Source organism: Homo sapiens, chromosome 4 (genome assembly GCF_000001405.40).
Source record: "Homo sapiens chromosome 4, GRCh38.p14 Primary Assembly".
NCBI lineage: Eukaryota > Metazoa > Chordata > Mammalia > Primates > Hominidae > Homo > Homo sapiens.
The window spans coordinates 146,846,343-146,862,661 of record NC_000004.12 but is presented as its reverse complement, the minus strand read 5'-3'; the positions used below and the strand labels follow the sequence as shown (position 1 = coordinate 146,862,661).

At 36.7% G+C, this 16,319-nt stretch overlaps 1 protein-coding gene across 13 annotated transcripts in view; it reads left to right on the top strand.

Annotated features, from left to right (window-relative positions):
* Positions 1-16,319, top strand: part of TTC29 (tetratricopeptide repeat domain 29) — a 239,248-nt gene that overhangs the window by 83,203 nt on the left and 139,726 nt on the right. The gene's annotated exons all lie outside the window — the stretch shown is intronic.

Sequence of the window (16,319 nt, the reverse complement as noted above, 5' to 3'; positions counted from 1 at the left end):
TGTTGGCTTCTTGGACACAGCACACCCAGAACTGTAGACTTGCAGAAGCCAAGCACAACATTTGAACAGAGCTTTGCTTTGACTTCAGATTTGAAGGCAATGTCTTTTCACTCTCCTTAGTGTCCTATCTTAGACACTTTTTCTATTTCCTTTGCGTTAAAAGGACATTCTTCAAATTTTCAATTGAATCTCCTTTTACTTTTTTCTTTCTGGACCTGATGAAAGTAACGATGTTACATAAGTGATCCATTATCTGCTTGCAAATTTCAACATATCTTCCTATCTGCAGGGTCTTCTGTGATGGCATTCCTTCTAGCTTACAATATTTCTATTAGAAATCTATAGCAGGAGAGAGCACTCCTTATTTAGTGAATATATTTTGTGTGTATATGTATATATATATATATATAATGATAAAATATAAATAAATATGTAGGATCGATTCCCTGATTGGAGATCTAACCAGTTATGTAATCACAAAGTAAATATTCAACATATATTTTTTAAAGTTTTCTTTCGAGATCCTCTTTTATTCTACTTTCCCACCTTGCATAGTGTTACCAACATTGTCTTCACCTGTTTTAAAGCACTACTGATGGTCCTGTCATAGTGTAGCTGTGAAGAGAGGTAAGAAGGCTCAGAAACAGCTTTGTCGTGTTAGGTTTAGCGTTTTCCTTTCCTTTTCGTATTCAGTCTATCTTTAATTGTTGTCATTAATTCTATATACAATTTTATCTTCTCACTTGTATTTCAAATTGATGAATTGGAATATTTTCAAATTCTCAGTGTCTTGCCTCTGGATTCAACTTCTACCTCTCATAATTTTCTCCCTTCCAATAATGTTATTCATCTATCTAAATATTTTTACTTTTTTTTTTCAAAGAAACTTGGATAAACACAAGTGAATATTCCCAATCAATAATAGTTCTATTAATCTGAAATAGAAGGGATTTTGAAATTTTGCTAATGTATCTTAATGGAAAGGCTTTAATTTATCAGTAAAGTATTAATACAGTCATAGAAGAATGTGCAGACAAGCATATGAATAAAACTTTGGTGATTCATTCCTTGTTGATAAAGGGCTCTTTACTGAATGATAGAATACAGCTAAACTAAAAACAAATAATAGATTTATTTAGGACTGAAACACCTACTAGTAAGGAAAGAGTATTTGGTAAAGAGAAAAAATAGTTACACTAATAAATCTGTGCAAGGGGTCATAGAGACCCTGACATTTAACGAGGAGAATGCTACCTGCATATGCCATGTGCTGGGGAAGGAAAACATAATTCCCTTTGGCCATCATCAAATTAGACCTGTAAATGTTCTAAGTAGGGTAAATTCCAAATTTTAAGAGGTATATTATAAGGTCCTAAGATTTGAAAGAGAAAAATATTTTACCAAGAATCACATCTAAGGTCTTGTGCAAAATTGGACCAGCCACATACCAACGTAAAGTTATTTTAAGGAAAAGGAATGGCCTCTCTTAGCCGTTCGTTTTTATGTATGAATTTCCTTTCTCCCTAAATATATCAATTCACTTAATGATTCTAGGAACACCAACTTTATTCAATCTTTAAAACAGGCAGAGAATTATTTGCTTTCTATTATTTTGCAATAATTTAACTTAAAAATGATACTATGAAAACAAAATTCAACAGATTGATATTTCATTTGCTTTTAAAATACAGGATTCACCCCATTACTATTATTTATTCCATATACAAAGCAGTAGCCATCTCTATGTTTACATACATTAGCATCTTTGTAACAGTTTAGAATGCTTCTAACATTAGTGTTAACTTGTAGATGTGGTTGACCTATATCTCCAGCCTCACCAGTAGCATCACATAGAAAAATGCAAATAAGTAATACAAAATAGTCTTCCCTCATCTGAGGTTTTACTTCCCACGGTTTGTTGGTGGTGGTCAACCGCAGTCTGAAAATATTAAATGGAAAAATTTCGGAAATAAAAATTTGTAAGTTTTCAATTATGCACCATTCTGCGTAGCACAATGAAATCTCGTGCTGTTCCACTCTGTCCCATCTGGGACATGAATCATTGAGAGTATCCTTCATTGAGAGTATCCATGCTGTATATGCTGCCTGCCTATGACTGTATAGGAAGAAACAGTGAATATAGGATTCAATACTATCTGAAGTTTCAGGCATCCACTGGGGGTCTTGGATCATATTCCCCACATATAAGGAGGAGCTACTGTATCAGAAAAAATATTCCAAAAATTTTTATTTGATATATATTTATTAACAATGGAAGATATGTATCATGTGTGTAAAATAATATATCCTTAGTGTTTCACTAAAGTAATACATTTTTTCAACTCAATAAATGTAAGCAAAGATAAAGCCATACTGTATGAGAAACAATTTCTATCAATGATTTATTTGCTTTGTAATGTTTAGCTGACAGAAAGTTTTGGGGGGAGAGAGTTCTTACAGTTGTTTCCATTTAGTTGCTTTCTGTATATAGTTTACCTCTCTTTTAAAAGTCAACCCATTGTTTATAGCAGTGGGCTCTTAAATCAAGTGATAATCTAGCTGATATGCAAATACCTTGGCAGATTTAATACTGACAAACCGAAAACTAATCTCTTCTTTGGTCACTTTAATAAGTGAAGACACATTTCTGTCTACTGCTGAAACCATTATGCAACCCAAATAAATCTCAGAGTTCTCCATGGCTCAGTCTTTGTATGATGACATATTAAAAGAAAAGAAATCCAGCATTCTAAACTAAAAGTAATTTTAATTTCTACTTAATTACCCTTAAAGAACAGTAAAAGAGATGATCTTAACTCACAGCACCATTATTTCTTAAAATCCTCTTTCCTTCTATTTCTCTAACTTTTAAATTTGTCTATCACAGGATATTCAGAAGCCCATATCTTTATGTCACTCCCTAAACCCAAAACTCCCACCCTGTATTCCACTTCTATGTGGTTATCACTCCTCTCTCTTCTCTCTCCTGCCTTCTTTTCTCTTTCAGGTCAATAAATCTTGACTCTTTCAGCAGTCTTATCTCTACTTTGCACAACCCATTCCTCTGAAAAATTATAACTGTTATGTGCGTAATAGAACCCAGTAGGGATAACGCTGGTTTGAGAGAAAAAGGAATGTCAAATGGGTTATGCCAGAATTCATAGTCTGGGAAAGGCAAGGCAAGCAAATACACTTGCATTAATCATTTTTTAGATTTTCTTACACTATATGTAAGAAATTCTTGAAAAGTGTATGTCAGAAGAAAAAAATGTAAATAAAAAATAATAAACAAGAGGGGAAGGAAATGAGAACAAAGAAACCAAGGCAAAGGAGGAATCAAGAGAGAGGATGTCTGAGACTCAGTGTTCCTTTGGGTCCTTTCTGTGTCATTTCCCATACTTCAGCTCTAGAGTTCTGAATGTCTGCAGGATATAATAATAGGATGAATCTTCTGATGGATACCCCATTTATTCTATCTGTAGTTTGAATCAGTTTGTCTACAAGAGCAATGGCTTCTTCATGTCTGCATTCTCACTCTTCCCTATCATCTCCTGGCTGCATGTAGATGACAGTTGGGGCCCGTTTAATATGACATCATGACATTAGAGTTTCCTGGAATGCATATAGGTGCTCATATCTGCTATCAAATCTTTGATCGTTAGACATTTGTATGAAGTAAAGGCAGTAAGTACTAGCATTTCTCAGATAAGGCACTCTCAAAATGCTTTTTAGAGAGTACATTTATCAACTCTTTGGAGTGAGAGGACAACAACATCATTAATTGATGGGCTCTAAAATCAAACTAATCAAGCATGGAATCCCAGATCTGCTACCACCTCACCATGTGACATTGAACAAGTGACTGACTTAACCTTTCTGAACATTAGTTTCCTCTTCTGTAAGATGCGGATAATCCTACTCTAACTCAGGACAGCCTTGTGAGAGTTAAGGAAGAATATATGTCTGAAATTTGTAGCATGGGGCTTAACACGCAGATAACTAAAACTATTATGTTACTATTAATATACATAAAATATTTTTTCCGAAGTGCTAGATGATCATACATCTATGAAATCACAATGTCGGGCTTCTGCTCTAGACCTACGGTATTCTCAAACCCCTAGTTAGCATAGGAACAAATGTTAAATGTATTGGTAAAGTCTACACAGTTAAAAGTGTTGGAAGGAGAAGTTGATGTACATATATTACATGAAAAAGAGCATTTTAATGGAATATAGGTCAAGTCATACATAGCAATGGCATTCTAATTATAAGTGGCCAAATATGTGAAATGGCTGTAGGTTTGGATGTACAATGTTCATATCAGAGGTAACTGTGGTACAGAAAGAGCACGTGAGCCTTGGAGCTGGAAGACATGGATTTCAGTCCTGTCTGCCATGCACTAGCTGTGTGACCTTAGGTTAGTCACTTAACTTCTTGGAGGCTCAGTTTCATTTGTGAAATAACAATACTAATGGCAGCTTCACTGTGTCTTTGTGAAGACCAAAATTTAAAAATGTGTGTTTACACTTTAAATTATAAACAGTTCTCAACTGTAAGATACCATTATCACTACAGATTGATGTAACTATAACTGGATAATGATAGCAATGATACTGTAGTAGGTAGTATTTATTGAGCATGCATTCAAAGTCTCTACTTCATTCTTACTTTATTCTTAATTGTAATTTACTATTTATGATATGTACATTACGTAGTACCTAAATTTATCTTTGTATTGGCACATATTTTTATATAATGGAAAGAAGATAAACCAACATTTTGTGAAAAATATTTTATTATTAATTTGTTAATAACTTCTCTTTGAGTTAAAAATATGACATTTATTTTTTAAAAATTGAGTTATTTCTTTCTTTAAACATAGAGCTACTCATTGCCCATTAAACAGAAGTTGTCTTTACTCACCAGTTAGAAATCCTTACCTAAAATTTACCCTTCCATCCTTGGTTTAATGGTCTGGGTAACTGAGGGGAGCTCAGATGCTGCCAGAGAGGAAATCATGGCCCCTTCTCCCAGAGGATGGCTGGTTATCATAATATATAACATGCAGACAAGCCTGCTTGCAGCCAGTTTGCCTCCTGGTCGTGTGTAGTTCATCACCAGCTTCTAAGGCATGCTAAAGAGGGCTCGCCACTCAGCTTGAGATGATTCAAGGTGTAGGCTCAGCGGTCTCAGCAGTCATTTTCCTGCTTTACATCAGAGTTTTCATCTGCTTTATCCTTTTGTCCTGTGGCCCACCTCAGGCAGTCTCTTTCTTGGGGAATCTAAAAGGAGCAGCTGTTACAGATCCCATTTCCCCCAACTGTTGTGGCTCAGACCTCTTTCTATTTAGCATTACCCTCCACACACACACACACACACACTCTTCCACTAGTACACAAACAGCGCCTACCTTATTTTCATTTCATAAGTTTTGCTAAGTAATATTCAAAATATTCAGTGTCTGATGTGCAAAAGAAAGGGTTTTTTAAAACCATTAAAAGGAAATAATATTTTCTAATTTTAAAATATGTATTTATTTACAAATTGTATAGAAAATGTCTTATTCAGAATTATTATATAATCTTAAGGCATAGTATAAAAATATATTCCATATCTGATCTTATTTTGAATAGTTACTTGGAAATAGCCTTACTTGGAAAACAGCATTTTAGGTAGTTTATAAAAATATGTTTTAATACTTGGGGAATTACAAAAACTTAAAATGTTTTACTAATAATTTTGTTATTGTTATCTTAATATTTAAAGTTGTGTCCTTCCTGAAACATTGAAACAGGTAACTTTATGGTACTAATTTAACATAGTTTCTGTAGTAAAGATCACAGAATAGAATCTTAGTAAATTGAATTTTTTTTCATTTCCTCATCAATAAGGAGTAGCTCTTTAAATCATTTTTAATTTTTTAAAATGTCTCTAGTTTTTTTACATATTAATAATATTTTAATTAATTAATAAATAATAATGTTACAGCTTAGGAAAATATGCATCTGTTTCTTTTTTTACCTTGATTATAGTATTTGTCATATAAATTACAGTATTTGTCATTTAAATGACAAAAGCATTGTAGAAAATCAGAAAGCTCAAAAAAATTAAAATATTTATTTTTTGAAACAAATCTGTTTGGTAATAATTTACAATTTACAAACTTTCCTACAAATAAAGAAATGTTTTATGTCAGGAAAGAAAGTTTGTGGCCTAAATTAATATAAATACAAATTTTCTAGTAATAAAATTTATTGATTTTTTTTAACATGAAAGCTGGTTTTAGTTTCCCTTGAGATCTAGAATACCACTTGGGCCAAAACTTCATGATTATTTTACTTATTCGTTTTTTAAAAAGTACTGCTACAGTAGCTCTTTACAAAGCTGAAGTTTTTGTATCTAGGTATTCACATTTTAAGAAACAGTGCAAAAATTTCTGATACTCATTGTGAGAGAAAAATGAAGGAAAGGATAAAATTTTTTATTTAGCGCATCCTAAGAGGATGAAGTTCAAAAATCTGAAAATTGAGTACTCTAATCAACTATACTAAATAGTGACATATGGAACATAATGTATGTATACTCCTTAAAGTTCAAGGCCTAGTGTATGAAAATGTTCGCTGGAGCAATAAAGCAACCTGCATAGTTCATCACAAGACTAATTTTGTGACAGACCTAGAGGCAACGCACAGCTGTTAGCACTCGTTGATCTAGAGGCTGCGAAAGAAGAAGAGGCATTACACCTAGAAGAACCCAGAGAAGATTATAGGATTAGATGTGTTAAACAGGAATAAGTGTGTGGGTCATACTTCATCATTACAAATTTAGCCAAATTATGTATAATTCCTCTAAGAGATGAAAGGGGTAACTTCAGAAAGAAATAATGTAATCAAATATATTAAAACTTATCCAAAACATTCTCAAAGGTGTCTTTAGTGTAAGTAATTATGGATCTACAAGTAACAGTAATATTGCATTTAGAAATTATACAGTATAATTGGTGCACAATAACAATAACATATGCTAGGATTTAAAAATAGCATTAATACCATACTCCTAATATTCAATCCATATACTTGTAAAAAACTCTTTTACCCAGTAATTTCAACTTTCTCCCTTAATCAACACATAAGTTTCATTAATAACTAATAAAATGAATTTAAGATTAAACCTCCATTTTTTCCCACGACTGTCCTCTATTGACCCTTATTTATTTGTTTGTTTGTTTGAGATGGATTCTCACTGTCGCCCAGGCTGGAGTGCAGTGGCGAAATCTCTGCCCACTGCAACCTCCACCTCCTGGGTTCAAGCTAGTCTCCTTCCTCAACCTCCAGAATAGCTGGGATTACAGGCGTGCACCACCATGCCCAGCTGATTTTTGTATTTTTAGTAGAGATGGGGTTTTGCCATGTTGGCCAGGCTGGTCTTGAACTCCTGACCTCAAGTGATTCACCTGCCTCAGTCTCCCAAAGTGCTGCTGGGATTATAGGCATGAGCCACCATGCCCAGCTAATTTTTGTAGTTTTAAGAGACAGGGTTTTACCATATTGGCCAGGCTGGTCTTGAACTCCTGACCTCAAGCGAATCACCCATCTCAACCTTCCAAAGTGCTGCTGGGATTACAGGCATGATCCACCTTGCCTGGCCCCTTATTCATTGTTTTTAATGATGAAGATGATGGCCGAGAATAGAAAAAGAGAAAGAAGATAAGGAAACCAACTAATCCACAAAATGGCATTTGGCACCTGAACAATCAAGGGTTGATTATATAGATGTGTGTAACAGCTTTCTTTTGTGAGCATTTCGAGGGAGGAATTTAATATTCTTTTGCACAAAAGCATGACTTTGAGGCAAAACATTAGAAAGTTAGAAAGCCAAATAGTGTGAAAGTTTGGCAAGGATGTGAGATTACAAGAACTGCAGTTAGGAGGGTAAGCTGGTGTGGCCATCATTCCAAGAGTGACGGTGTGAGTGAAATTCTGTATGTGATTTCCTGGTGGCATACCAGCCCACTCCTGGGAATATCTGTCCCAGAAAAACTCTTTAGGGATACATTAGAGAGGGCTTATGGAGGGGAAAGGGAGTAAGAGTGAGGACGGAGGATGAAGGAGAAAAATTTATTAAGAACAATTGAGGGGGCACACACAGACCAATGATAAAAGTGTGCCCTGCTCTAGGGAGTGTGGCTAACTCGATTCTATGTGCCAGAGTTTTCAAATAAATAACGTGAAATAACGTGGCCACAAAATATTTTTGATTGCAACCCAAATGTGTCACATAGTTCTTGCTCAAATACACATTTTTGGACATTTCATAAAAGCTTACAAGGCATTCTCTGAGTTTTTACAAAAGCATGGGCAGCAATAGGTGAATGCTTTTGCACCGTTGAACTCAATACCTTGACGACTTGGTTCGGGTTTTCCCAGAAGCTGACTTTGAGATGTGGAATTGAGTACATGTGGCTTATTTGGGAGGGATTCTATCAGCCAGGGAGTCAGGCAAAAGAAGGAAGCCAAGAAAAGGTGTATTGCCAAGCCAGTTATTACTGTGGGCAAATGGATCAGTCCTGCTGGGACGCTCTAGGAAACAGTGTAGAAACAAATCAGTTATCCCAGGGGAGGGATGAGGGAGCTGGTGCATTTATCCACCAGTTCCCACCATTCATTGGTTAAGAGTTGCTTCCAGGGACACTAAAATTCCCTGGAATTCCAGTTTACCATGAGCCCAGCCGTCAAACAGAAGATCCCAGGTGCTGGCCTGAGTAGCCCTTGGCCACTCTGTCAGTGCAAGTCACTGACAGAATGCAAGTCACTTAGCTTGTAGGCTTCCTTTTCTGTATGTGAAAAATAGGAATGATAAAGTTGCTGCGGCAGTTAAATAAGATAAAGAAGTAATGTGCCTGGCACTTAGTGAGCATTCAGTAAATGATAGCTTTGTTTTAAGGTTTAAATTTTGTACATCTTTTGACTCAAGAGTTGCTCATTTTGGAATTTACCTAAGGGAAATAATTAGTAATGTGTGAAAATATTGAGCTGTAATATTGTTCATAAAATCATTAATATATACCGAGATCTAGCTATAACCTCTGTATACAATGCTATAAATGCTGTTTGGAATGGTGAAAAATTCAGAAAAAAAGTAAATGTAAAGTAATATCAAATTGAATAAATCATTTTTGGGTATCCTATGCTGAAATACAATGCAGCCAATAAAAATTACAAAATGAATAAACATTTTATAACAATGAAAGTATTACTGATATGTTGAACAAAAAAATCAGGTTATTAAACAGTGTACATTATGACCCTACTTATATATAAATACATATATATGTAGTGCATAAATAATATATGAAAATGCTAGAACTACCAAACTGTTTTTGGTGGTTATCTGTAGAAGCTGGAATAATGAATGACTTTAATTTTTCTATTTTTGGGGGAGATTGGTATCTGTATTCTCAACATTTTCTACAATTAACGTATATTGATTTTGTAATAAAAAATAAAAGAAAAACTACTTAAAAAGTAAACTATTATATCTTTCCATTCCATTAAAATTTAAAGGTTTTAATTAATGTTTTTAATAGGTTTTACATAGGTTGTTCATGGTAAAAATCTTTAGTATAGGATTGATTGTAGCAGGTTAGTCATTTCAACAGCTTATCTCAACCCACAACATTAAAGAAAATTATTAAATGCTTAACAAGTAATAAAAGAATTTAAAAATGAATTCATAAAGTAAAAAATAATCATATAAATTATAAAGCAAAAACAATAAAACAGGGAGAAAAATACAGCCGTATAGATTCCGAAATCCTGAGTAATTTTGTCCAAAGTCCCTATGATCAAAAATGGTAATAATTATGTTGATGTTTTAAACTTCAGTTTGGTGCACAGTGTTGAATAACAGGTCTGAGAAGTTTCTTTTTGGTCAGGTAGATTGTTCCTGTAGTGCAAGACTGCATTATCTACATGGAAAAGAGACATATACCAGTGCCATTCTTACAATAGGGAGCAAGAGCTAGAGAAGCAACAGGGAAGCTGTTGTTCCCTCATTGGAGCAGGAGCAGCAAGAGTAAAGGCCTGGGAGGGCAGCCAAATGCATGCAGCCAGGCTGGAGTAGGAGCCTTGCAGGAGTGAAACTGTTCTGAGTAGGGCTACTGGGGCAGAAGCTGTTTGAAAAGAAGGCTGAGACATCCATTAACTAGTCAGCCCGTGGTCACAAAGCTAGCAGATGCAGAGCCAGACAGGAGCCCACGCCTCTAACTACTGATGTTGTTGTAATTGGTAGAGTTGTCAGTAAGATGATTTTAAACTCACTTGTTGAGCCTCTTCACAAGTTTCCCATATAAATGTTTAATAACATTCTCATCTGTTCCACTTAATGAACTACTTATTGGCATTAATAACATTTTGTTATTCTTGTTCAGTGGAAATTATTATTGAATAACACTTGAAGCTTAAAAAAGAAATCGCCCCTCTGCTGCTGGACCAGTTGGGAATCAGCACAGTTTGGAGAAAAGCACAACAGGACACAGAAGTAGAAGATGCAAATGGCGGGCTGGGTGCGGTGGCTTACCCCTGTAGTCCCAGCTACTCGGTTGGCTGAGGCAGGAGAATCACTTGAACCCAGGAGGTGGAGGTTGCAGTGAGCTGAGATCATGCCACTGCACTCCAGTCTGGGCGACAGAGTGAGACTCCGTCTCAAAAAACCAAAGATGTAAGTGGCATCAGGCTAGAAATGACCCACTGCTTTGTAGCTTCTCCAGAGAAAAAGATGTCAGGAATTCTTACTTTCCATTTCTTATTTCCATTTCCTTCTTCCCCTCCATTATTATAGATAATGGGATACCATGGATTCTTCCTTTGTTATGATGTAACTTCCTAGCTGAATTTGCCTTGAAATTCAGAAAAACTCTGGATGTTTTTCTGACAGTGAAATATGTCCAGCTCTAAAGTTAAGGCACTTGTAAAAAGAAAAAGTAATATTATTCTTTTCTGAAAGCAGTGTAATCAGCATATTATACCTACAATCCTCAGTCTCTTCTTGCTGCAGATGCAAATTTGCTATCTACTAGCAACTCAGTAAATGCAAGGGAAAGAGCATGTGAAAGTGCTGATTGCTAGATTTTCAGTTGAAAGATCTGGTAGGGGAGATGCTTATAATTTTGGATAAAATGAAAGAAGAGGAGGGGTATGGGGTCCTTTTCATCAATCTTAATTTTCTCTGTTGCCATCTCAACCATTGTCACAATATGATTTTGATCTAGTGATTAGGAGGTTGGCCCCTTGGAATCACAGTGCCTGACTGCAAATCCTGTTCCTGACACTTCTAATCCTGAAGCCTTGAGTGAGTTATTTGGCCCATCTTGTGCTTCAGTTTCTTCACCTGTGGCATGAAGATTACTCTAGCATCTAAGTTATAATGTGGTTGTGAGGATTAAATAAGTTAACATACAGAAAGCACTTAGACCTATGTCTGGCATATGCTACTTCCTCAATAAATGTTAGTGAAAATTACAGAATAGTAAAAGTATGATTTGCTGGGTTGGTGCAAGGATTATGCTATTCATGCTGCCACAGCTGGCTTAACAGATCACAGACAAATCTCTTAGCACCCCTTGCTTTGTAAAATGAAGATGATATATGTTAATACAGCATATTGATGAAAATTCCAATGGAATAGTAAAAAGTGGTATGTTTATTGGTCCTTACTGTTGTAATGCAAATGATTTAACGATACATTTTTCCTAAATTTAATTAAACATATTCATTTTCCCTATGAGCTTATATTAGCTTACAGCAGAATGATTGTTTATATCTCCATTTTATAAGTTTATAATATCATAGATATTAAAAAATAAACATTTTCCATTGAAAATATTGTGTAACTAAACGTGAATATTTGTCACATGGTTTCAAAGCCAAAATTACTTCTTAATTGTTTTTTGTAATATGTTACATAGGAATGGGAAAGCATTAGCCAGATAATCATTAGGATCTTCAAAATGGGTTTTGAAAATACCAGAAAGACCACCAAATTGGGAATCAGACATCCTGGATTCTGGTTGTGGTTTTTGTCACCAAGCTCTTGGCCTTGGGCAAGTCATTAAACTTTGTTCAGTTCCCTTATGGGCATTGTTGCAAGACACCATTGTTGTAATCTTGGTCAATCCACAATAGGACAGGTTGCACCAAAAAGATCCAGAAGCTGGAGCCCAGCCTGCATGGTGGCATTGTCAGGCAGCTACTTGTCAATGGGGTGGAAGAGAGGGCTGGATGAGTATGCTGTCTTTGAAGCCAGATGGCTCAAATGTGAGTCCTTTCTTGACCATTTACCAGTTGTATGACCTTGGCCCTGTGGCTTCATCTCTATGTGCTTTTGTCTCCTTAACTTTAAAGAGACAAGAATAATAATAATGCCAATGCATGGGGTGTTAAGAAGATTAAATTAGCTCACACATGTAGTCTTAAGAACATAGTTTTGGAGCACATACTGCCAAGCCTTGTTTTAGATGCTTTGGGTACAGCAATAACAATGCAGACAGACATCTTTGTCCTTGTGGACCTTCCCTCCCATTGGGGAAAACTAACAATGAAGATGAAACATAATTGACAAGTGAATTAAACAGTATATTAGACAATGAGAAACACTATGGGAAAAAGTACAACAAAATAATGAGTCAGGAGTTCCAAGGCAAGAGGTAGGGTGGAGGGAATTATAAATGGGTGATCAGAGAAGGCTGCATTGAGAGGCTGACTTTTGGGAAAAGACTGGAAGCCTGTGAGAGAGTGGGCCATGCAGATACTCGAGGGAAGCACACCCAGGCAGTGGTAATGGCCAGGGCAAAAGCCTTAAGGTGGCAGTGTGCCTGGGGGCCTGGAGCCAGTAAGGCTGGAGAAAAGCAAAAGGGGAGAAGAGTGGAGATAAGGAGTAGGATCATAGCTGACCTTGGAGGTCATTTTCAAGCATGACTTTTTTTTTTTCTAAGTGAAAAGGGGTTCATTTCAGGCAAAGGAATGACCTAAAAATGCTAAGTTAATATTGGCTATTATTACCTCTAATCATTGATCTTCATGATGAAAAAATAGCAGCTGCTAATAGGCAACACTGTGACCAGACAAGCATGAGGTTGACATCTAAAACATCAGACACTGGGCTGCGATGAATGTCCCTGTATGTGAGTGGAGGATAGCTTCTGGCAACTGGGGCAGAAGGCAGTGAGCTGTAGGTGAAGGTCAAGGTCAGCACAATCATGCTTAGTGTGATCTAGCTGCAAGCCTATCACAGTGCTGAAGAACATGGGTTTCAAAGTCCAATGAACCCAGTTCAAATCCTTTCTCCTTCACCAATTCACTGTGTACTCCAGAGCAAGGCACTCAGCTTCTCTGTATTGTATTTCTCTCAGATATACAATGGGAATATTAATATATATTTCGAGGTTCTGTGAAGATTGAATGCACTATGGATATAAGACACCCTGCACATGTAGTTTTGCTCTATAAATGGTAGTGACTACCATTGGCAAGTGACAAGCACCAAGCCACAGGGACTGGGGCTCAAGGGTGAGACTGCTGACTCAGGCATACTGAGGGCAGCAGGGTAGGTCTCCAGACTCGCAGTGAGTAGGGACCAGGCTAGGCACCAAGATAGAGATTCAAGCAAGAAGAACAAGACTGGAATATAGCTCCCCAGGCTGGGATGCACCTTGGGATGTGTGCTTGGTCTCAAGGGACAGGACAAAAGTCCAGTCACTTTAACAAAGGTTAAAAACATTATATGATCCATAGCAAACTGATGTGATGCCAACTTTCCACCCTTTCAGACCAGGAACAGGAGCAGTCCTGGGGACAGGTACAGGTCTAAGTTCCTTCCAAATGGGTGGAACCAGCTGGGAGAATGGCAGGGCTAAGGAAGCAGGGCAACTGGCAATGTTCTCTACTGTTCCTCCTGGGCTCTGTAATTCTCAATGTCTAAGTATTGATAAGTAATTCAAAAGCACCAAATATAACAGTTCCTGCTATAAAACCTAAAGCTTACTATAAGAATGCTAGCAGCAGTTTGTTTTGCCATTTTATTTTCAGCTTGTATGTTATTTCAGAGCTGATCAAAGGCATTGGTTGCAAAGAATAAAATAAATCACACCTCTAAATAAACCACTAAAGAGTGTTAAATTGATTTAAGTGATTTTATGAATATTAATATTTAAAACTTCTCTGTCCCAAGCCTCTTTATGACTACCTATAGCAATAATAACTACCATTTTATCCTACCATTCTTCATCTTATAATATTACACAGTAAACTGTGTAAAAACATTATTTCTTAGCATTGGAATGGAAGTACAGGATTTCAGCTGCTTATTTGTGGAAGTATATCTTGAATTTTATTCAGTCAATAAAAGTATACTCGATTAATGCTTTATTATACTCTTTGCATAGGCTGAGGTGAAGAAAGTATAATGTGTGTTTTCTGTTATTAAAGAAAACTTTGCCTTCCACTCACGTTTCTTTCCAGTACATTTGATTCTAAGCAGCATCTATTTCAGGTTAGTTCCAGTGTTGAGAAACTTTGTAGCTTTACAATTTTGTATATTTAGTTCATCTGAAAATATTGTTAAAGTTGTACAAGTGATTTTTGTGGACTTTTAAAAAAAATGCATAGGGGAGGAAAAGGTATCCACAGTCCACACTGTTAAACGCAGTACCTGTGAAGTTCCCTCAGTGGGAGGATTTAGGCACCAAAGCATCCCATACATCCACTTTGGTGTTGGAGTTATCCAGGCTGCACAGTTTGACAGCAGGTATGCGAGTGAAGACACGCTGCGTGATAAAAGCAACTCAGACATCTGGATCACAGTGCGAGCATTCAAAGGCACTTCTGAACTTTCGATGCATTTGTACTTACCCTGGTCCCCAGCCTTGTCCGTGGCTCACTCAGCATTTTCTCCACCTCGGCATGTCTTCATCTTTTTTTGTACTTCAGCAGCCTCCCTTCTCCCTGACAAGTCACCTCCATCTGCTTCTGTGTCAGTGTGGCCCTTCTGCACATGGCTCGCTGAGGAATTCTCAAGATGAAGAGCCGCATAGTCCTCCCTGTCTCTGCCTCAGTGCCGGCTCCTGCCTGTCACTGCTCAGCACTCTGCACCACACTGGCTTGTTTTGTCAATAACCATTTATTTGTTGCTGGAATAGTAGCAGCCATTACATCTGACCTCCCTGTTTCATCAATTATGGATAGATTATTGAATGTGAACATCTGCAAAAGCTTGCTGTTGAACTCACCTCCTGGCTGGGATTAGATAAAGTACTAAACTGTTGTTTATTGTCAGGCCAAAACTCTACTGGGAAGCCAGGGAATTCCAAGAGTAGCAGAACCCCATCAGAAGTACCAAAAATCATTTCCTATTGCCACCGCTTCCCCTAAGATCCCAGACATTTATTATTTACACTTATTACTAGTTGTTATAACCTACTTGATAAAAGCTCTTGGCAGGCATCGCATTTCCAGTCATTGTCGCTCCTGTCAGAATGGAAATGACTCATAAATTGTTATCTTGTCTCTTCTATCACTGTGAAAGGGTAATAGACGAAGCTTCTTCTGTGCGAAAGCATTCAGTGGAAGACTTTCCTACCATGTTTTATTTTAAAGGAACATGTTCACACAGCCTGATATGGAAGCATTACATCATGGATCTAAATTAGGGTTTACCGAGTTTATCAGAATAATGGCCTGAGGTGGAAAGGATATCAAATTGTACAGACAGGATATGCTCAACATGTTTTTCAAGGCTTTCATGGATTTCTGAGAAAAGGAAACTACAATGAAATTTTATTGAATCCTGCCTTAAATGAGAAAGAAATCCAGTAAGAGGTATGATGAATAGATGATGGCTTTGCTGCCAGCGGAGAGACAGATTTCCTCATGGTAATCAGTTCATGTGGAAATATAGAAATTTTCGTAGGATTAGTGTTTATTAAAACCTTCTAGATAGTCACCCACAAATGTAAAACACCCCCTGATCCTTTTCTGCAGAGCCAGAAACCATTTCGTTCAAGGTGGCCAAAAGGAAGAAGGTTAGGTGGCCACTGGGGAGAAGTTGAGAGACTTGTCACCATGCTAGTGACTTTTCACAGCTTCTCTGCCTCATTTTGGTACTTATCAGGATAAAAACTGTATTTGTCTCCTATTACTCTAGAGTAAATGGAAGAAAAAATGTTTTATATTTCCTCCACAGATAAGAAGAATCGTTCCAAATACCAGGACTATTGTAACGTGGTTCAGTCTCTGACCCACCGGTCCACACTTAGCATAATG